General features: G+C 36.6%; 1 protein-coding gene and 1 pseudogene across 6 annotated transcripts in view, besides 4 other annotated features; one reads left to right on the top strand and one right to left on the bottom strand.

Annotated features, from left to right (window-relative positions):
• The window catches only part of KIF20B (kinesin family member 20B), a 73,345-nt gene extending 62,094 nt beyond the window's left edge, over positions 1 to 11,251 (bottom strand). For all 5 annotated transcript variants that reach the window (NR_168374.1, NR_168375.1, NM_001284259.2 and 2 more), the window contains exons 1-6: positions 11,161 to 11,251; positions 7,400 to 7,547; positions 3,588 to 3,674; positions 3,380 to 3,496; positions 2,776 to 2,914; positions 1,696 to 1,880 (exon numbers count right to left, since the gene is read on the bottom strand). Coding sequence is in view for 3 of the 5 variants with exons in the window: in NM_001284259.2 (NP_001271188.1) it covers positions 1,696 to 1,880; positions 2,776 to 2,914; positions 3,380 to 3,496; positions 3,588 to 3,674; positions 7,400 to 7,546 (675 nt within the window). In the remaining 2 variants the exon portion in view is untranslated. The remainder of the gene's footprint in view (positions 1 to 1,695; positions 1,881 to 2,775; positions 2,915 to 3,379; positions 3,497 to 3,587; positions 3,675 to 7,399; positions 7,548 to 11,160) is intronic.
• Positions 10,573 to 11,089: an enhancer, noted in NCBI's record as "OCT4-NANOG-H3K27ac hESC enhancer chr10:91461509-91462025 (GRCh37/hg19 assembly coordinates)". NCBI's record gives its function as "activates a minimal SCP1, AML or CMV promoter by ChIP-STARR-seq in naive H9 embryonic stem cells {active_cell/tissue: H9 hESC(naive)}" and the evidence as "EXISTENCE:reporter gene assay evidence [ECO:0000049][PMID:30033119]".
• Positions 11,090 to 11,605: an enhancer, noted in NCBI's record as "OCT4-NANOG-H3K27ac hESC enhancer chr10:91460993-91461508 (GRCh37/hg19 assembly coordinates)". NCBI's record gives its function as "activates a minimal SCP1, AML or CMV promoter by ChIP-STARR-seq in naive H9 embryonic stem cells {active_cell/tissue: H9 hESC(naive)}" and the evidence as "EXISTENCE:reporter gene assay evidence [ECO:0000049][PMID:30033119]".
• Positions 11,650 to 11,729: a silencer, noted in NCBI's record as "silent region_2595". NCBI's record gives its function as "represses an Ori minimal core promoter by ATAC-STARR-seq in GM12878 lymphoblastoid cells {active_cell/tissue: GM12878}" and the evidence as "EXISTENCE:reporter gene assay evidence [ECO:0000049][PMID:35858748]".
• FLJ37201 (tigger transposable element derived 2 pseudogene) lies at positions 14,913 to 21,541 on the top strand (annotated as a pseudogene). The gene is made up of 2 exons (NR_026835.1): positions 14,913 to 15,071; positions 18,039 to 21,541. The product of NR_026835.1 is annotated as a tigger transposable element derived 2 pseudogene (transcript).
• Positions 18,956 to 19,457: an enhancer, noted in NCBI's record as "NANOG hESC enhancer chr10:91453141-91453642 (GRCh37/hg19 assembly coordinates)". NCBI's record gives its function as "activates a minimal SCP1, AML or CMV promoter by ChIP-STARR-seq in primed H9 embryonic stem cells {active_cell/tissue: H9 hESC(primed)}" and the evidence as "EXISTENCE:reporter gene assay evidence [ECO:0000049][PMID:30033119]".
• Positions 21,542 to 22,096: the final 555 nt, after the last annotated feature.

Here is a 22,096-nt window from a genome sequence, read left to right as displayed (position 1 = left end):
CAATTAGTAGTTTTTAACAGCCTTGAATAGAATAATGTCTGAAAATATACTACAAAATCCAGAAGGCACAAGAGGAATAAACAGACAAGTATAACTTCATTTTTAAAAGTTTATATGGTACCACCTTATATAAAACAATACCTCCTCACAGTATATTACATATTTATTTATTGTCAGTCTCCATGAGGGCAGTACCATTTGTCCTCAAAACTGAAAATATTGCCTGGAAAAAAAACAGATGACTTAATAAAATTTGCTGAATAGATGAATACTGAAAAACACAATGGGCCAGGCTTGGCAGCTCAAACATGTAATCTCAACACTTTGGAAGGCCAAGGGAAGAGGATCTCTTGAGGCCAAGAGTTCAAGTCCAGCCTAGGCAACATACCAAGACCCCATTTCTACAAAAAAAATCAAAACAGCCAGGAGTGGTGGCATGCCCCTGTAGTTCCAGCTATTCAGAGGAGGTCGAGGCAGGAGAATCACTTGTGCCCAGGAGTTCAAGACAGCAGTGAGCTATGATCATACCGCTATACTCCAGCCTGGATGACAAAGCAAGATCCTGTCTCTAAAAACTAAAAAAAGGAAGAAAAAAAAGAAAAACACAATGGGGGCAGGGGAGAAGCAAACAATAAGCCAGAAAATTTGCAACCCATACACTAATACATTAATAATGTATTCATTTTTTTAAATACATTTTAATAAATCAGTAAACAAGAAAAGTCATACAATACTAGATAAATGGACAAAGAACATGTGACAATTCACAGGAAAAAATTCTAAGATGTACTAATCAACTAATTTACAATTAAAAAAATATAAAGTAGGCTCAAGTGAGCCATTTTTCACCTATCAAACCAGACATTATTAAATATCCAATCTTGGCCTGAGTTTGGGAAAATTAGCACCAAATATATTTGCAATGGAATGTTTCTTTACTGAAACACTGTTCAAAATAGTAAAACACAGAAACAATACAAATGTCCATCAATGGAGACTTAGTTTTAAAAGCTGATTTAAAATTTAAAAAAACAAGTTAAAGACATAACAGATAAAACGCACATGATTTAAGGTAGGAAGAGATTTAAGATACGCTAAATGAAATACCAAGTCATAGAATGGTAAGCATAGTAAGATCTCTTTTTTGTTTAAAAAAAAAAATTATATCATACATATAAAAACAAAGGTATGAAGATATACACATCATATATATGACCATGTTTGTGTATATACAGATAGAAAGCTCTGTATATGGATTTTATATAGAGAGAGAAAAGGTCCAAAAACAATACTTCCCAATCTATTAATAATTTTTTCTTTAGGAATGAAATTAAAGGAAACTTTTACTTTTTACTTCTCACATTCCCTATTTTAAATTTTGGGTACATATTACTTTCACAATTAAAAAACAGAATTTTAAAAAATCATTACATAAAAAGCACAATGCTGGCTCTACAACAATCAAAAAAGATTTCAGAACCATTTACATTTGTATTGTTTAAACATTCTTGCTGTTGGTATAATATAAATACAAAAGATGTCTTCACACTTTAAGCTTTATTTTTCTCGAAAACATAAATAATAACAAAAAACACTACCACCACAAACCAGATTCCAATATATGGTGAAACAATCTAAAGGGTTTATAAGAAGTCAGGAATTATACATATTTTACATACTAAAATATTTCCATACCTCTTTAATTTGCCGAAGCAATGCACTTTTGCTAGCAATTTCTTCTTTCTCTTGTTCTGATGATAACCTTAAGTATTCTCTGGATCTATGTGGTTTAAGGTTCATCTTTGTATACAGTCTTTCTTGAAGACTATCAAATAATACATTCAAAGTTCGAGGCAGAATGCCAATATTTTCTTCTGTCCCTGCAAAAGGAATTTTTGTGTTATACTCTCTCAGTCTACTAGGAAAGAGGAAACTTTACTTGTTTATTAAAGCTCCTTTTATACTACCAATAGGCAAGAGTCAACAACTGAAACGGAAATGATAGCTAAGGATTACTCAGTTTTCCATCACTTTGTTATTCACAGTATTACCAACATTTTATTGACTATTATTCTGATGTAAACATGAAACTTTACATTCAGATAATGCAACCATATTAAGATTTGTAACCACCCATAATCACAAACTATAAAAGTAAAATGAAATATAAAATTTCTTCTGGTCATTTATGCTTAATTCTCTGTATCACATCAATACTTTTTCTGGATTTTAATCATCATCTAAATCTCTATCAATGGGTAAAGTATTTTTACAAATGAATTAAATAAATTTGAATTAAAAGCCAATAGCAAGGCCAGGCATGGTGGCTCTTGCCTGTAATCCAAGCACTTTGGAAGGCCAAGGTGGGCATATCACCTGAGGTCAGGAGTTCGAGACTAGCCTGGCCAAAATGGTGAACCCCCATTTCTACAAAAATATAAAAACTAGCTTGGCATGGTGGCGCACGCCTGTAGTCCCAGCTACTTGGGAAGCTGAGCAGCTCAGGCAGGAGAGTCATCTGAACCCAGGAGGCAGAGGTTGTAGTGAGCTGAGATCACACCACTGCACTCCAGCCTGGGCAACAGAGTGAGACTCTGTCCCTCCCCCGCCAAAAAAAAAAAAAAACAGCAATACGTAATAATATGCTAGTACTATTAAAAATAGAGCAAACGCATACTAGGTAATAGCAACATAACTACATGTATGTATTATAAAAACACTGAGTGATTATTATTGCTTCCTTATCCTTTCCAACCAAAATAAAACAATATTTACCTTGAAATGTATATGTTTTTCCTGAATTGGTTAGCCCGTAAGTAAAAATCAGACGACTCTGTCCTTTCAAGAGGTCTTTTACTGGTTGCATAATGCAACCCTGAAAGAATTCCTTCTGTGTAGTTGCTGGGCCAAAAACCTAAGCAAACATTTTTTAAAAACTCTTTTTAGAAAATTCAAGTTAATATTAATAGTGTGTTCCATCCCAACACTACTGTTTAAAAATTTAAAAGATTCATTCTTAAAATAGGTGCCACATCCCCACTCCCACAAATACATTTGATAGTTTTACTACCAGAAAGTTTTCAAGATAGAAATCTGTACCAGGGAATCAAGTATTCACCTAAGTTTTGAAAAGAATATTTCTTAAAAATATATTAATAATAACTTTAATAAAAATATAGTAATAATAACTTTAATAACACTACAGTGATCTCTTTACATCCAATTATATATTTCCAGACCTGAGATTTGAGTCTTATCCTTAAAATCTAAGTTGCATAAGCATAAAATGTATAGTTCATTATATACAATTATATAGCAATTTAGCCTAAGCCAAGTCTCTTTATCTTTAAAACAAAAAACAAAAACACTTCAGTTTTACCTTGGAAAAACTGAATTTCTGTGCCATCTGCCCTGAGCTTTTTTCACTTAACCGACCAAGGATGCATTGAGGCTCTTTCAGCACAACAGTCTGTGAATCCAGAATATGCACACAGCCCTAGAAAACATACCCCCAATAAATAAAAACTAGTATTTTGCCATTTTAAATGAAAGTAAAATATTAAAATTCTATTAAATTCAACACAAACCTCAGACTCAAGTTCTTTTTCTGACTGTGTAAATGGTCTTATTCGAAGACAAACCTGGAGATAATCTTTAGATTCGAAACTGTTTGCCTTAAAAAATAAAGGAGAAAAACATTGTGTTTTTGAAAGATACGGCTTTTCAGAGACCATTTTTCCTTAACATGGCTACTTTTTACATAATAATCTGAGATGATAAAGAATTTCTAAGCAGTCACTATCCTGCTTTTAATAATGTTAGAAAAACTCAATAAATCTATTTAAATAAAAACAAAATACACCAAAAAAGATCCAATTTCCTCCATCTCCTGTATTTATACGTGAAGTTTATAAAAAGGCTTTATTCCACAAAAGCCTAATATAATTAATGAGGCCCTAAGTCATTGGAAAATATAACTCTAGAATAAATCAAAAGTAACTAGAATATTCTATTATTCAAATGCTCAATTCCATGAGGTATTCAGAATTTTTTTACTATGTACCATTCTCCTTGTTACTTTTTCTGAGGAAGAAATGTGCATAGAAAATGTAATTTTAAAGAAATGTTTTAATGTTTTTTTAAAAAAGTAAAAAGGAAACAACTTGATAAATGCAACTTAATCAAAACAGACATAACTAGAAAATCTGAATAACCCAATTTCTATGAAGCAAACTGAATCCATTTTCAAACAAAATAATGCCACAAAAAAAAAAATTCAGGCCCTAGTAGTTTAACAGTAAATTCTATCAAACATTTAAGAAAATGATCAGGCCAGGAGCGGTGGCTCATGCCTGTAATCCCAACACTTTGGGAGGCCGAGGCGGGTGGATCACCTGAGGTCGGGAGTTCGAGACCAGCCTGACCAACATGGAGAAACCCCATCTCAACTAAAAATACAAAATTAGCCAGGCATGGTGGTGCATGCCTGTAATCCCAGCTACTTGGGAGGCTAAGGCAGGAGAATCGCTTGAACCTGGGAGGCAGAGATTGCGGTGAGCCAAGATGGCGCCATTGCACTCCAGCCTGGGCAACAAGAGCAGAACTCCGTCTCAAAAAAAAAAAAAATACAAATTGTACATAAACTCTTTAAGAAAATATAGGAAGAGAAAATACCTTAACTAATTTTGAGTTTGACATAAGCCGAATAACACAATTGACAAAGATATCCTCAGGAAAAAATTAGAAAACAAAATACCACATTAAGATATACGCAAAATTTCCCACACAAAATACTAGCCAATATATAAAACAGGATAATACATCTGACCAAGAATGGTTTATTCTAGGAATATAAAGTCTGTTTAGCATTCAAAAATCAATCCAGGCAATTAACCATATTAAAAGAATAAATGAAGAGAAACTTTTATCTCTACAGATGGGAAAACAGCATTTGACAAAATCCAACGTCCATCTGTAATAAAAATTCTCAGCAAAGTGTAATGAATGCAAACTTCCTCATCCTGATAAAGGGCACTTACAAAAAATCTATCGCTAACAACAAACTTAACAGGAAAGACTCAATCTAAGATGAGCAGCAAAATGAGTAATAAGAAGAGGATTTCTGCTTCCCCACTTCTAGTAACATTGTATTAAAGGTTCTAGCTGGTGTAATTGGGTGTGAAGGGGGAAAGGGGATGGGGGAAGAAAAAAGGAGGGGTAAGGGAAAGAAAAAGGGAAGAGAAAAGGAAAGGAAAAAGAAAGGTAAAAGGGAAGGGAAGAAGGGAAAGAAAGAAGTGGAGGGGAGAGGAGGGGAAAGAAAAGGAAAAAAAAAATGGAAAGAAAAAAAGGAAATGAAAAGACAAAAGTCATCCAAATTGGGAAGGAAGAAATAAAATTTTCTTTATTTAGAAACAACATGAACATACGCATACAAAATCCAACAAATCTACAAAAAATTAATGTATACTAACAAAATGCTAATCAGAGGTTACTTGGAGGTGTGATGGGAGGGAGCACTTACAAGGAGCCTCAAGGAAACTTTTGAGGGTAATGGTTATACTCACTATCTTGACTGTAGTGACAGTTACATAAGTGTATGCACATGTCAAAACTTATCAAACTGCGTATCTAAAATATATGCAGTGTTTCATTATGCCTAAATAAAGCAACTAAAAATATTTACAATAGCATCAAATAACATAAAATGTTTATAAATATATTTGACAAAAGACACGAAAGGCCTCTACATTGACAAGTATAAAATACTGCTAAGACATTAAAGACCTAAATAAAATGAAGAATACTGTGTTCATGGATTAAGACTCAATATTGTCAAGATGTCAATTCTCTCCAAACTGATCCACAGATTTAATGCAATCCCAGTCAAAATCCCAAGATGCTGTCTTGTAGAAACTGGCAAGCTGATTCTAAAATTTATGAATATGCAAAGGACCTAGAAAAGCCAAAATTTTCCTAGAAAAGCAAAACTGGAGAATTCACACTACCTAATTTCAAGAATCATTATAAAGCTACAGAAATAGAGAGTATTGTGTTGGAATAAGGACAAATAGGTCAAAGGAAGAGAATAAAATCCAGAAATAGATCCACATATACACAGCCGTTTGTAAAGCACCAAAACAACAGGGAAAGGAAAGTCTTTTCAATAGATAATGCTGAAATAACTACTTATGTAGTTAAAAAAAAAAAAATGTATGGAAGCTAAAAAGAAAAAGAAAAAAGTTAACCTGGGTCCCTATATCAACTGCACACAAAAACTGTTCAAAATGGACCACAGATATAACTACTCAAATGAAAACTAAAATTTCTAGAAAAAGTAAGACAAAAACTTTGGGGAAGGCGAAAGTTTCTTAAAGAGAACACACACACAAAAAAATTCACCAAAGAAGAAAAGAAAATGTTAAATTGAATGTCTTTAAATTTTAAAATGTCTGATCATCAAGACACTATTAATCTGATAAAGGATTTGTATACATAAAGATTTCTCACAAAACACTAATGAAACAACCTAATTTAAATGGGAAAAAGATCTGAAGAGACACTTTACAAAGAAAGTAGAAAAATGGCCAAGAATACTTGAAAGAGTGCTCATTAGAAAGGGCAAACTAAAACCACAACAGGATACCATTACACATCCACTAGAAATAAAAAGTTCCATTATCAAGTGTTAGCAAAGAGGTAGAAGCACTGGAACCTACATACATTGCCACTGCTGGGATAGCCACTTTGAAAAACAGTTTAGTAGTTACTTATAAAGTTAAACTTATACAGTTTGTATTCCTAGGTATTTACCAAAGAAAAATGAAAACACAAGTTCACAAAAAGGCTTGCACATGAATGTTCAAAGCAGCATTATTTATAATGACCTCAAACTGTAAACTACCTAAATGTCCATCAAACGACAAATGGAAATGTGGCATATCTGCACAACAGACAACTATTTAGCAATAAAAAGGGAAAAACTACTGATGTATGACACACGACAAATCTCAAAAACATCATGCCAATCCAGGAGTCAATAAATTTTCTCTGTAAAGAGCTAGACAGCTAATATTTTAGGTTCTAGAGACCCTATAGTCTCCTCACAACTACTCAACTCTGCCATTATAGTGCCACAACGGATGTAGTAAATAAATAAACCAATAAGCACGATTGTGATGCAATAAAACTTTATGGACAGTGATGTTTGAAATTCATATAATTTTTATGTTATGTGACATTATTCCTATTTTGATTTTTCTTCCACTATTTAAAAATATAAAAACAATTCTTAGCTTGTATCTAAGTACAAAAACAGGTAATACAAAAACAGGCCATTGTTTGCCAACCCTTGCATTAGAAGGAGGCATGATAATCAACACAATACTTTTCTTGTACTTACCTCAGTATTTGGAGCAACTAAGGAAAATTCATGAGACAGATCAAGCTTAATGCCATCGAAATTTATTTCTGAAGGCCTTGCAATTGGGTCAGCACTAAAAACATAAGATGGTCGAGGTACTCCCTCTTGATTAAAATTAGATTCCATTCTGCAAGAATAACAGCAACTTCTTTAACAACCTTAATAAGTCAGCATGTAAGCCACCCACACTTTCAAAAGTCTAGCCCACTACTTCCCTCCAAATAACTAGATTTTAGAAAAGAAACGCATTACATTGCTTCATTTATAACACAATGCCCTACAGGAAAGACTAAAGATCAAATTATATTTACAGACTCTGATTCTAATAATACTGAACACAGCCTACTATTTTCATATAATATCCATTCAAAGAGGTTTCGTGAGTACAGGTAATCTGTAAAGATGGTATAAAATATTTACTCTCTCCGTGAAATCCTCTCAAAACTCAAATAGTAAGGAGATCACAGGGTAAATTATAACCTTGTGTCATCTACTTAGTGACTCCTGTAGAATGTTACTTACAGACTTTGTTTTAGCATTTAAAAGTTAAAACTCAGTTATCTGGGTCTGGTGCGGTGGCTCACGCCTGTAATCCCAGCACTTTGGGAGGCCAAGGCGGGTCGATCACGAGGCCAGGAGTTCAAGACCAGCCTGGCCAAGATGGTGAAACCCCGTCTCTACTAAAAATACAAAAAAAATTAGCCAGGCGTGGTGCCAGGCACCTGTAATCCCAGCTACTCGGGAGGCTGAAGCAGAAAATTGCTTGAACCCGGGAGGCAGAGGTTGCAGTGAATCGCGATCGCGCCACTGCACTCAAGCCTGGGTGACAGAGTGAGATTCCGTCAAAAAAAAAAAACAAAACAAAACTCAGTTATCTGAAAAATTGTTTTCAATTTCAAATTCAAGTAAAAAGTAAAATAATATATGTAAACACATTCAAAACAGTACCTGACACATCACAGGTTTTAAGTTAAATAGGAATAATGCATCAGTAAACTATTACCATTGAATTAAACATCAAATCACTAAACTAAAAGGTAAACTTAAGGATAACCTTAACTAAAAAATACTAACATTCTAATATTTACTGAGAATCTACTAGATGTACAATACCAGAGAGAGGAGGAGGACTCTGTGCTGTTTTTTGACAAGATTAAAAAATATACAGATCAGTGACTCCCAAACTAAGGTTCCTAGCTCAAGAAAGTAGTAACGACCATCACCCACAGGTATTATATAAAATGAACCAAAGATGGCCCTTGCATAATAGCTCTACAGTGTAAACTTCTTCACAGCTGGTAGGGATCTTAGCTCAAAAGCCCACTGGATCAAGGACCATGAATGTTTAAAATAAAAATTAAAAAGCCTACGGCCGGGCGCAGTGGCTCACACCTGTAATCCCAGCACTTTGGGAGGCCGAGGTGGGTGGATCACGAGGTCAGGAGATCGAGACCCTCCTGGCCAACATGGTGAAACCCCGACTCTACTAAAAATACAAAAATTAGCCGGGTGTGGTGGCATGCGCCTGTAGTCCCAGCTACTAAGGAGGCTGAGGTAGGAGAATCGCTTGAACCCAGGAGGCAGAGGCTGCAGTGAGCCGAGACTGCGCCACTGCGCTCCAGCCTGAACACAGAGCAAGACTGCGTCAAAAAAAAAAAAAAAAAAGGGAAAAGCCTGCTGGGGCGCCAAAGTCAAATTCTGAAGCATCCATTTACTTTCAAAATGGCCCAAAATAAGCATATTTTTAGCCATTTAGAGCCTGCCAGGTTTGAATGCCCCATGAAACTGCACCCAACATTTGCCAGACACATAAAACCCGGGATTATCAAGACCCCCAAGCCACTGCTGCCCTTGAGAGTTTCTATGATCCGGAGACTCTCCACTGTGCAACATCATTTAGGCATGTAAGCCCCTCTATGATTCTTTCCTCCCCGACTCCCCATTCCCCTTGCCCTCTTTCCCCTCTAGATGGTGGCCCCTCACCCTGGTCTAGAAAAGGTCCCAAACTGAGACGGATTTCCTTTGCCTACAATCCTGTCAAAATCCTTGTTTATTCCTGCCATCTTGTTGTCAATCTTTTTCCTTGATCAGGCTGAAATTCCTAAACGTATCACAAGAACATAGTTGACTTTTTTCCCCTAAATTGCAAAAAGACTAAGGAAAGCACTGATCTAGATCATGGGTAAGGGGGTGCAGAGGGGGGAGCATCTGCAAAACGTTAAAGTACCGGCCTGACATTTCATAACACAGAGTTCATGGAAATGCCCAGAAAACTAAAAAACACCTGTGGCTTCAAATAATAATTTTTGGTTTAAAGAAAAGTGTTGATAAATCTTTTAAATTGCTGAATTAAAAAGAATATTCCTATGTACTAAAAGCAGTTATAATAAAGTATTTGTTCATATGCTCATTTTTCAATGAACAAACTACTTCCTAGCATTTCTAAAAGTGTTCAGACTTACTGTAACTTCTTGCGATTTTAGATGACTTCTACTTATACGTGGCCTTCCCAACTAAACTGGAAACTTCTTGATGGCAAGAACCTTGCCTTATACCACTCTGTATCCCCTATAACAAATTCAGCGACTTATGCAGGGATAAAGACTACCTAATGACTTAAAATAATGGTTATAAAGAAAATACTATTCCAAAAAAAAAAAAAAAAGTCGGTCCTAGTCTGTAATATTATCTTTCGTGACAGCAGGCTCCAAGACCTCATTTTTCATTTCAAAAGGCTGCTCTGACTGGAAAACTGCATATTTACCCTCTCTCCAATAAGAATCCACAATTGGAGACTTTGGTGAAAAATAGCAGAATCTGTTGCTGAATGAGGTTTCTGAATGTGGTCTACAACACAAAGCCTCAAAAAAAGTCTTCACAACTAATCGATGAGTATTTTATGTTATTTTTACAATTTAAAATCTGGAGTCTTGGACATGTAAGATAAATACACTGTTACACTACCTAACCCATAAGGCGTGAACTTCTGTAAACTAGTAGTTTAGCAAGAAATATAAGAGAACTGTGCCAGACATGCATCACTGAACCAGCGAGCGAATCGAGATGGAGAAAGCCTTCTAAACTGGGGAATGACAGCAGTCACTGTGCCACAAACTCTTCAGCCTGGCACTGCAAAACCCTAGAAGGGCAAGCCCCAAGGACCAGTAGGAGTAGTCTGGAAATAAGTGCACAGAGGCTACCACAGGGCTCCCCCCGCAAAAAGGCCGTGTTACCTACCAGCCGAGCAAACTGCTCACCTCAGAGCTTCAGAAAACTAGGTGTGGCAAAACAGGCCTGTTCCTCAACAACAACAGAAGCAACAACAATAATAATATTAATAACTGCAAACATTTAGTACCTACTGTGTGCCAGCACTAATAACTTTACACATTACCATTTAATCTTCACAAAAGCCGAAAGAAATAGACACTTCATTGCAGCCTTTTAACTGATAAGAAAACTAAGGTACAGAGAGAGATTAAATGAATTGTCTTGCGTCACTCAGCTAATTAGCAGTGGAGGCGAGATTTAAACCGTAACCGAATTAGTATGACTCATTCCTCGCTGCGTACCCCGTGTTCGCATCGCTCCGCAACCCAGTTCCTGACAGTAACCTCCACTGGGGTATGAGCCCTGTCGGAACATGTCCACATTGCCAAAGCCGTTTCCCCACCTTAGGCCCCATACATGCGCAGTCACCCACCTCCTTCCCCACACATTCCCGCGGGTCACCTCCTCACCTGCAAACTTCGCCTGACTAGCCAGACCCGCGAGCAGCACTGCGATGTTACCGTTTTCAAATTCAAACAATGGCGGCCAGGGCACCGCACTGAACGCTGGGAGTAGGTGGGGCGTCCAGAGCTCCGCCAGGGAGCGTAGCCGGCTCGCGCTGCGGGCTTTCCAGTGGCTACCGGAAGAAGCTCTCCAATATGGGGGCGGGTCTTGAAACGCGGGCAGCCAATGGGCGGAAGCAGGCGTGGGCCGCCCTGGTGCTGACGGTCTGGTTTGCCTCCCAGCTCTGCTAGCCGGGCTTTAGTAGTGCGCTTTCTCGCGGCTGTCATAAGTACCACGCTGTTGACTGGGACACCGATCTCCAATTCTGTCCTTGAGGCAATAAAGATGTGGCGAAGGCCCGAGGTGAGGCCACTGCCACTGCACTTAGTCCTGCGACTCCCCTAAGGACGGGCCGAGGAATGGCGGGCTAGCCACTTCCCAGTCCTGTCCCTACGGGGCAGAAAAAGGCTCGGCATCCCGGGATCCGGAGGGTCACTTCCCTCGCTGCATCCCCATTGTGCAACTGCCAGTCTAAAAATTGATATAGGTAAGCTTATGAATGCTAAAACTAATGAATGCAAGATGCTAAAACAAACAATTAACTGAAAGGTTGTAGGGAAGAGGATGTTAGTATCTCAAAGAATCACCCTACAGATCATTTCTTATTATAAAGGGAAAATAGAATTTTACACTGAAGAGATTTATTAGACATACCTTAACCAAGTGAAGATACTTAGCATCGCTAATATCACCCGATAGTATTTGTGCTAGAAATGTTTGACATTAATCATGAGGAAACAATCAGAAAAAAACAATGTAGAATATTCTACAAGACAACAGGCCTAGGCTCTTCAAAAATGTCAGTGTCATGACAGGAAAAAGAAAAAAACGAAGTGGAAAATTACTTTAGTCGAGAGTCAAAAGAAACCAAATGAAATTTGTGAATCTTGGCTGGTTCATAGTTTTTAAAAAAAAAAAAAAACTTCGAAAGACATTTGTGGACAACTGGGGAAATTTAAATATGAACTACATATTAGATGATATTGAATCAGTTTTAAATTGATTGCATGTGAGAATTAATTTGTGATTAAGTGGAAGAATGCCTTTGTTTTTGGAAGGCGCTTGCTAAAGTAATTAGCAGCAAAGTGTCACAGTGTTTGCGGCTTACCTTCAAAAGATATGGCAAAAAAATAGAGAAAGCAAATGTGGCAAAATATTAGTAATTGGTGAATCTAGTTGAAGGGTATAATGGTGTACATCGTACCAGTCTTGCAACTTTCTAAAATAACAGATTTTATAAAATAAAAAGAGGAGGGGGGAAAAGGAATAGAATTCTGATCTTTACCATGGCCTCCCAGGTCCTGCACAATCAAGTGTCAGCCGACCTCACTCCCCACTAACTGTACAGTAAGTTGATCTGCTCTGGATACCTCAAACACCAACTTCTTTCCAGCATGTATGAACCTTTGCATGGGTTGTTCCCTGTACCTAAATTCTCTCTTCTCCATTCAACACGTGGCACTTCCCTTCATCATTTAGGTTACGTCTAAAATAGTACCTTCTTAAAGAAGACTTTCCTGGCTACTGTATCTCAAGTGAGCACTCTTTTTTTATTTGCAGGTTCAATTTCATTTTTATACTTTTTACAACTAGCAATTGTTGTTGTTCCCCCACCCTGTAAAATCTAAGTTCTGTGAGTAGAATAACTGTGTTTTGTTTGGTCGCTAATGTATCCTCAATGACTCTCTAACACAAGACAAGCAAATCAATATTTGTTGAACAATGAATGAAAGCTGATGTGGCTGGGTAGAGACCATGGGGAGGAGTCAGGGGAGTGAATCTGTAGGCATGGGCCAAGGCCAGACCCTGTAAGCCTTAGCCAAGTTACTGACTTGAGTATTACGAAATGCTTACTGGATAACCAGTTTTAAGCATGGGCATGGTGCAATCCAATGTGCATCTATCTTTTGAAAAGGTTAATCTCCTGGAGAAACTAGAGGCAGCCAGGGAGGATGCTGTTGAACCAGTTAGGAGGCTGTTGCAAGAGATCCCAGGAAAAGATAATGATAATGTGGACTTGGAAGATGGCAGAGGAGTTGCAGAAAAGTATCCAGATTTTAAAGGTACTTTTTCCGACGTTTTTCATTTCAGCACCAGCTGCTGGGTTTTTCCCTTAGGGAGATGCAGAGCCAGCTTGATTGGGAAGTGCTTAAGATTTAGTACCCATTCCAAAGAATTCCATCTGTGCCCTTGAAATGAATATTAACATAAAATGAAAAATTTGGTAAGTTACATCAAGCTGATTTTTCTGCCCTGGCCACAGTCTCTACTGTTAGTAATAGCTAACTTTCTTTATGCCAGGTAGTATTCTTAGCACTTTATACTCATTTAATCCTAACAGTAACTCTGTAAGGCAATTTGTTGTTGTTACAGCCAATTAATAGAAGAGGAAACTGAGGCATGGAGCTAGTAAGGAAATAGTAAAGGTATCTACTAAATAGAAGTGTTGAAGATTAAATCAGGTAGTAGTGTAAAGTATTTATAAAAGTATCTGGCATATGTTAAATAATAACTTGCTTCAATTTATATAACAAACAGAGAGACTGGAATTTGAATCTGGGTGATCCGGCTTCAGAGTCTGTGCATTCTTTGGCCTCTCAAAGTTTGGATCCAACACCCCTGGAATTCTCTTAAGAAAATACTAAGTGCTTAACTCCACCTGCAAAGCCATCTCTAGAAGCAAGACTGAAGCAGCTGACTTTTCAACCCCAAAATAATACTTTTGAGTATGTATTAATTGCAAAGGTTTAAATAACAAGTTCAACAAAAATTTATCAGCCACCCACTAAGTGACAGATGTCTCTACCCTTGAGAGGCTCTTAAGAGGCCTTCATCTAAAGTAGCCCTTCTCAACCTGGGATTTCAAGAGACAATTAATCCCTAATGCCTTTAGGCACCCATTGTATATAATGTATTAACTTCTTTCATATACATCTAGAATGGCACTGGTTCTACACCGTCCTGAAAATAATTTTTTTATCTCCTGTGGTTCATATGGGGAAATCCATATGCAAAGTATTTCAAAACATGACAAATGTTGTAATAGAAATGAACAAGGAATAATGGGAGCAGAGTGAGCATAGCTTAAAAGTAATGGCTGTGAAGTCAGACTTGAGATTGAGTATAAGCCCAGCCACTTATAGGGCTCATAAAATTGTTGTAAGGATTAAAATAGCATATGTAAGTTATTTAGTATAATCCTGGTACATAGTAGGTTTCATAGTGGTAGGAATATTTATTAAATCTGTTTGTTAAGTCATTAGAATGCAAACTCGTTACTATCTTGGTCCTCTATAGCCCCAACATCTAAAACCGTACCTTGCACAAAAACAAGTACTCAATAAATACTTTTTGATGTAATAAGGGATGTCTACTAGGGAAGATTTCGTAATGTAGCATGTAGGCTGAAGAAAATGATTGGGATTTGCCAGTGAATTACAGGAGGAGGCTATTCCAGGCCATGGAAGGCTGTGAGACAATGATAAAAAGAACAAGAGTTCACAAAAGATTCCAAAAACTAAATACCTACTTCAGCATGACTGTGAACATTAGCTGAAGTGGATAATGGCAGGAGATAAGAAAAGTAGGCAGAGGCTAGATCATAAAGGGCCCTATATGACATGCTAAAGAAGAGCTAGAATTATATTCTGTAAGGCCTAGGTTTTGCTCAGCAGAGGTATGGAAGGAAGAGTGTAGGAAGAGAAGAAAGAAAAGGATTGAGTCTTATGTCTATAATACCAAAATCTTAACAAAGTGCAAATCAAGAAATGAGACAACAGGATGTAGAAGTTTAAGCATATTATTTCAGTGTGCAAAGGTAACCAGTACAGGAAAAAATATATGTAACTAGAGCTAAGTGATTGTCTGTCTTTGTAGGAAGTAAATAGATATCTATAATTGATACATGAAGAAATAATATTAGGAGGAGCATATCATTTAAAGATATAGTATTTATAGTATTTGGTATAGTAATTGCCAAAAATACTAAAAACAAATTATAAGAATAGTTGCCCCTGGAAAGCAGGCCTGGAGATGTGAAAGGGTGAGTTTTTTTATTATAAGATCTTTTTGAATTTGTAATAAACATTTTTTAAAATTTAATGTGTCCTAGCTGGGCTTGGTGGCTCATGCCTGTAATCCCGGTGTTTTGGGAGGCTGAGGTGGTACGATTGCTTGAGCCCAGGAGTTCAAGACCAGCCTGGAAAACATGGTGAAGCCACGTCTCTACCAAAAATACAAAAGTTAGCCAGGTGTAGTGGTGTGCACCTGTAGTCCCAGCTCCTTGGGAGGGTGAGGTGGGAGGATGGTTTGAGCCTGGGAGGCGAAGGTTGCAGTGAGCCAAGATCATGCCATTGCACTCCACCCTGGGCAACATAGCCAGAGCCTGTCTCAAAAAAAAAACAAAAAACAAGAAAATTTAATGTGTCAGAAAAAAAAGCATTTCTTTGTTAATCATTTACTGTGTATTAGGCTATGAGATCCCATTACCTCCTTAGTGAAGGAATCTGACATATTTTTCTTGTTTGTAGTTTGCATGTACAAAGTTTTTCCAAATGTAAGCTGTCGTGGTGATTTTTCTTCAGAGTCAACTTGACTAGCTTTAGCCTCAGGAAAAAGGCAGTTGGAAAAAAAAAAAAAAGGTTAGCTGTAAAACAGCCTTAAACAGGTCCTTTAGGAGTTATTCCAGAAGAAGGCATTGTTATCATAGAAGAAGATAGTTTCAAGTGTGTTATTACCCCTGAAAACATTCCAGTAGAACAAAATGTGAATGTGGAAGATGGTGATATTGATGATCCTAACCCTGTGTAGGCCTAGGCCAATGTGTGTACATCTTAGTTTTTAACAAAAAAGTTTAAAAAAAAAAAAAAATTTTTTTAAATAAAAAAAAGTTCATAGAATAAGGATATAAGGGAGGAAAATATTTTACCCAGCTGTACAGTGTGTTTGTATTTTAAACTAAGTGTTATTACAGAGTCAAAAAGTTAAAAGTAAAAGAAATATAAAAGTTTATAGAGTAAAATTATATATATTATTATATATAAAATATATAATATGATAATATATAATGTATTCTCAATATTATACATTTCTCATATTTACTAGAATTTTTTTTCTTTCCAACTTGTATTTTAGGCTCAAGGGGTAAATGTGCAGATTTCTTACATGAGTAAATTGCGTGTCACAGGTGTTGTACAGATAATTTTGTCACCCAGGTATTCCACGTAATACCCAATTATTTACTAGAATTGAAACACTTCTGAATTATACTAGCTGTTAATGAAAAAGAGTCAAATTCTGGAAAATATTTGAGGGGATTTATTATGAGCTAAATATGAGTGAACAAGGCCTGAGGCACAGTCTCAAGAGGTCCTGAGAACATGTGCACAAGGTGGTTGGGTTACAACTTGATTTTACACATTTTTGAGGGGCAGAAGTTACAGGCAGACATCAATACATGTAAGGTGTCCATTAGTTCAGTCTGAAAAGGCAGAACAACTCGAATTGGGGGTGGGCAGTGCAGGGAGACTTCCAGGTCATAGGTGGATTCAAAGGGTTTCTAATTGGCAATAGGTTGAAAGAGATAAGTTATTATCTAAAGACCTGGAATCAATGGAAAGGAATGTCTGTGTTAAAATAAGGGGTTGTGGAGACCAAGGTTCTTATTATGCAGATGAAGCCTCCAAGTAGCAGGCTTCAGAGAGAATAGATGGCAAATGTCTCTTATCAGACCTGGAAAGGTATTATGTAAGACCTTTAGTTAGTCTCTCCTGGATCAGGAAAAGATCTGGAAAAGGAAAAGGATTATCTATAGAATCCTTTTCCCCACAGGAGACAGCTTTGCAGAGCCATTTCAAAATATGTCAAAGAAATATATTTTGGGGTAAAATACTTCAGTTTCTTTCAGGGCCTGCTGTCATGTGATGCTGTGCAGGAGTCAGGTTAGAGTTTGGTATCTTATTGCTATGAAGTGTCTGTTTTGCCAGTCTTAAGATCTCTGTTTTATTGTTAACGCTGATCACTTGTGCCTGAATTCCAAAGGGAGGAGGGTACAATGAGATATGCCCAACCACCGCCCTTCCCATCATGGCCCGAACTAGTTTTTCAGGTTTACTTTGGAATGCCCTTGGCCAAGAGAGGGGTCCATTCAGTCAGTTGGGGGGGTTAGAATTTTGTCTTACAGAACTGTGCTTTACTCATTTTTATAACAGTCCAGCCAAAAGTCTGCTCTTAAAGCCAATAGAAAAAGAAAGAAAGACTTAGGAGTGAATCAGTAAACTTCAGGCATTTGTAGCAGTTCATATTAGACATTTGAGGAAGATCTAAACAAATCTGGGGAAGATGAGAATGAGGAAGAAAAGCTGGCCTTCCAATAGGAACTTATAAAAGAGTACATGAAATAAGGCTCAAACCACAGAAGCTTAAAAGTCATGAAAAATGCTAATGAATTCTTTCTAAATTCTAAATTAAAAGAAACATTTTATTAGAATGTCTAAAATGTGTTTTAATTCTGAACTTGATTAACAATTCTGAGTCACAGTTGGGATGTACAATTTTCAGAACAGTTTAGAAACAAGCAAACAAAAAAGCCTTTTAAATGAGTGGATATTTAGGGAAAACTTGTGGGAGTGTTTGGGACATTTGCAGTGAGCTCTTTCATTTTTCCTGATTGCTCATTGTGAAGCAGTAAGTAACAGGCAGTAAGTACCAAACAGATCATTTGGTACAAAAAGAAAAATCTGTATTCAATAACTATAAATTTAGGAACTCTAACCTCTTGCCACAGCATCTCCATGTTATTCAGCATTGGAGCTCAACTACCGACTGTGTCAATCAAATAAGAGTATCAGGTTCCTGTGCTAAAAATATTCCAGCTCAAATCATCTTGGCAGACAATACCAGAAAAAACAAACATTTTTCTGTCTATTAAAGTGACCAAATGTTAGGAGACTAAATATAAGCAGAAAAGACAAGTAATAGCTGCATAACCTTGAGCAAGATACTGACTGAGCCTCAGCCTTTTCTTCATTAAAATGATATTTTTAATGCAGGTCTATAGTCTTTACTCTGCAATTCCAAAACAGGACAAAAAACAAAACACTGTGAAACCCAAAGTGTTTTTGTAAGTTTGGCACCAGGATTATATGCCAAAGAAAACCTACTGTGAACAAATATGAAGCCTCTATTGTCTCAGCACTTGTATCCGTAAGTCACACATGCCTCTGCTATTTGCTGATATTTTCTGACTTGGGGATTAATTCCATGGAAAATGTCGAAAAGGGCTAAAGATATACCTATGGGTAACAGTGAGAAGAAGAAAAGGAAGCATCTGTCTTTATCAATATCTCAGAAAGTGGAGTTATTGCAGAAACTTGATGGTGGTATGTCTGTGAGGTGTCTTACTGAAGAATATGGTATGGGAACCACCACGATATATGACTTAAAGAAACAGACAAGTTGTTGAAATTTTATAGTGACAGCAATAACCAGGAACGAATGAAAAATAGAAAAACATTGCATAGAGCCAAAAATGAAGACCTTGACCCTGTGTTGATTGAATGGGTTCGACAACAAAGAAGTAAAGATACACCACTGACTGGTTTGTTGGTCGTGAAACAAGCTAGAATATACCATGAAGAACTGAACTTTGAAGGAGAGTGTGAATATTCAGGAGGCTGGCTGCAGAAATTTAAAAAGTGTCTTGGAATCAAGTATCTTCAAATCTGTGGTGAAAAGGCTTCTCCTGATGATGAAGCTACTGAAAATTACATTGATGAATTTGCTAAGGTAATATCTGATGAAAATCTTAGCCCTGAACAAATTTACAGTGCTGATGAAACAGCTTTGTACTGGTGCTATGTTCCTAGAAAAACTTTAACAATGGCTAACAAAAGAGCAACAACAGATGTCAAAGATACTAAGCAAAAGTTAACTGTTCTTGAGTGTGCTAATGCTGCAGGCACACACAAGATAAAATTGGCAGTGATTGGAAATAGCCTATATCCAAGGTGTTTAAAAGGTGTGCATAATTTACCTGTACATTGTTATGCACACAAGAAAGCATCAGTAACGGGAAATCTTTTCCAACTGGTTTGATAGGCACTTTGTGCCAGCAGCATGAGCTCATTGCAAACTGGACTGGAAGACAACTGCAAAATTTTGTTGTTTCTAGATAACTGTTCTGCACAACCCCCTCCTGAACATCTTGCGAAGAGCAATGCTTTTGGCATTGACTTTCCCCCCAGTGTGACGTCTGTAATACAACCTTGTGACCAAGGAATTCTACACGCCGTGAAGAGCAAGTATAAACAGTTTTTTGAAAAGCATCCTTGCTTCAGTTAACAGAGGCCTGAAAATCCAGGACATCCTTAAAGAATTTAATCTTAAGGATGCCATCTTCACAGTTGCTAATGCTTGGAACGACGTTGATAAGTCAACATTAACAAATGCTTGGCATAGACTTTGGGCTACAATTATGTTTGAAAGTGACCTAGCTGATGAAGATTTTGAAAGAGTTCATGACTCTAATGAGAAAACAATGGTAGCATAATTCATTACCTATGCCAAAAGTTTATCAGCCAAAAGTGTAAATAAGTTAGAAGAAGCTAACATTGAAGAAAGGGTTAACATTGATAATGATGAACCCATTGTGCATCCTAAGAGTGATGGGGAAATTGCTGAGATGGTGTTAAATGCAGATCAATATGAAGATGGTAGTAGTAATGATGATGACATTATGAATTTGGGTGAAAAAAATCTCCATAGATCATATGGTGAAAATGTGTGACCGATTAATTGCTGGCCTTGAACGATGTACATTTATCAGTGAGCAAGAGCTGATGACAATTTACTCAATTAAAGAGAAACTGCTTAGACAGAAACCTGTGTTAAGGAAGCAGGTGAAACTGGGAAAAGTCTTTAATAAAGCTCTCTGTGGTAATGCCGCTTCATCTCTTGACAATCCTGTTTCTGGCTCATCAGATGTCCAGCTCCAACCTGGTTTCATAGGCAGTGGTAATACTGGAACAACCTCTTCTCCAAGATTCTCAGGCAATCAAAGGTAACAAACGTTCATTGCATGTATATGTGTTATGGGTTAGTTTTCATCAGTATAAGTTTTAAATTTTACTTAAAATTTCCTTAGAAATAAGAAGCTTTTTCACAAGTGACAAAACACATTAAAAGCTTATGGTATGTGTGGTCTATATTTATCTTCATATTTCATTTACCAATAAACGTATTTATTTAAAAATGTTATTTACCAATGAATTTACTAATATATTTTTGTAAATAAATTGTAATATTATTTATGGTTTTGTTTCACTTAGTGTGAATTTTCACACATTTATTCGCAGAAATAGTAAGATTAATGTGTTTCATTACATAGTACTGTCCTGTACCCATTTGGAATGTTACAAAATGTATGCAATTTATGTAGTATATTCCAAAGGATTCCAATTTCATCCTGAATTCCAAAAAATTCTCATTTCCAAAACACATTTGGTCCCCAGAGTTTTTAAGAGATTATAGACCTGTGATTCTTTTTTGTTGTGAATGATCCAGTGAAATGATCAATGTAAAATGTCTCACACAAAGTAAATGCCCATTAAGTGTAGTTGCTATTATTAATATTGCGTTACTCTACTTTAAAAATGTAAGACAAGCTTTTTCTGACATTGAAGTTAGCAATAGCATAGGTAATGATATGCATTCTTCAAGTTTTATTACTCTAGGAGATGCTTTGGCAATGTGCTGCTGATAAAGTGTATTAGAGTATCTCCTAAATCTTCATCCAAGAATGGAAACATTTTGCAAATCAGAGGATAGAAAATGTTATGCTACATCAAATTAAATTGCATGTTCATAAAATATGAACACATCTAGTTAGCCCTTATTAATCAAAGAAATATAATATTTTTATCTGCTGCTAACTATCCCCTCAGCTCCGTGTGCCATAAGCACCACACAAACAATAATTTAATCTCCCTTGTGAGCAAAGATTGATTTTTAACCCTCTTCATATAATTTCAGCTACTATTATAAGACCTTGAACATAGCTGAATACATAAAATTGGTATTCTGTTTTGTAAAGAAAGCTGTTATTAGCCTGATGAATGTGAATTGATTCCTGTGGCCTTGTCTTCTTTGTTTTGTTTTTTTGTAATGTTTGTTCATTTAAAATATAAGATGTGTTGCTTTTCTCTCATTATAAAAGGCATACATCGTTCTTGTAGAAAACATGGAAAATACAATTTATAAAGAAGAAAATAAACTCATCTCTAATGTGACAACCAGTGATACAATCACTCTTAACATTTACTTTCAAAGCTATCTATTGCATTAAAGTTTAAGCCTTACGGGGGCAGAAACCATGTCCATTCATTCCTGTTCTCCACCCTGTCCTTGCTATCTTACCATAGTAGGCATATAACACATTTAAAGGAAACACACACTCACACACTTAGGGACCAAACTATATTCACAGGATTTTTGGCCACATTACTTTTAGTGAACACTATATTGTGAGAATTTTTCCGTATGAATTCTATTTGATTTGACAAAGCCAGATTTTCTACACTGCATTCAGCTTATCCTCTTTTCTTCTGGGACTTTCTACTCACAGGCCCAAGGGTAAGCATTATTCTGCAGTCCCTCTGCCAGAGTACCTACCTTCTTTATTGTTCTCACCATTTTTCCATCATAGTTGCCCCTCTTATTTCCCATTAGCTCATGCTGCAGCTTTCTGCTAGCTACTCTTACCAGGTATAAGAAACCTTCACCATCATGTAAACTCATATACAACCTGACTGGTGATTGGCTCCCATTCTCTACTCAACATATTTC

The sequence above is a fragment of the Homo sapiens genome, chromosome 10 (genome assembly GCF_000001405.40).
Source record: "Homo sapiens chromosome 10, GRCh38.p14 Primary Assembly".
NCBI classification, from domain to species: domain Eukaryota; kingdom Metazoa; phylum Chordata; class Mammalia; order Primates; family Hominidae; genus Homo; species Homo sapiens.
The sequence above is the reverse complement of the archived record's forward strand: the minus strand, read 5'-3'. Positions and strand labels throughout refer to the sequence as shown.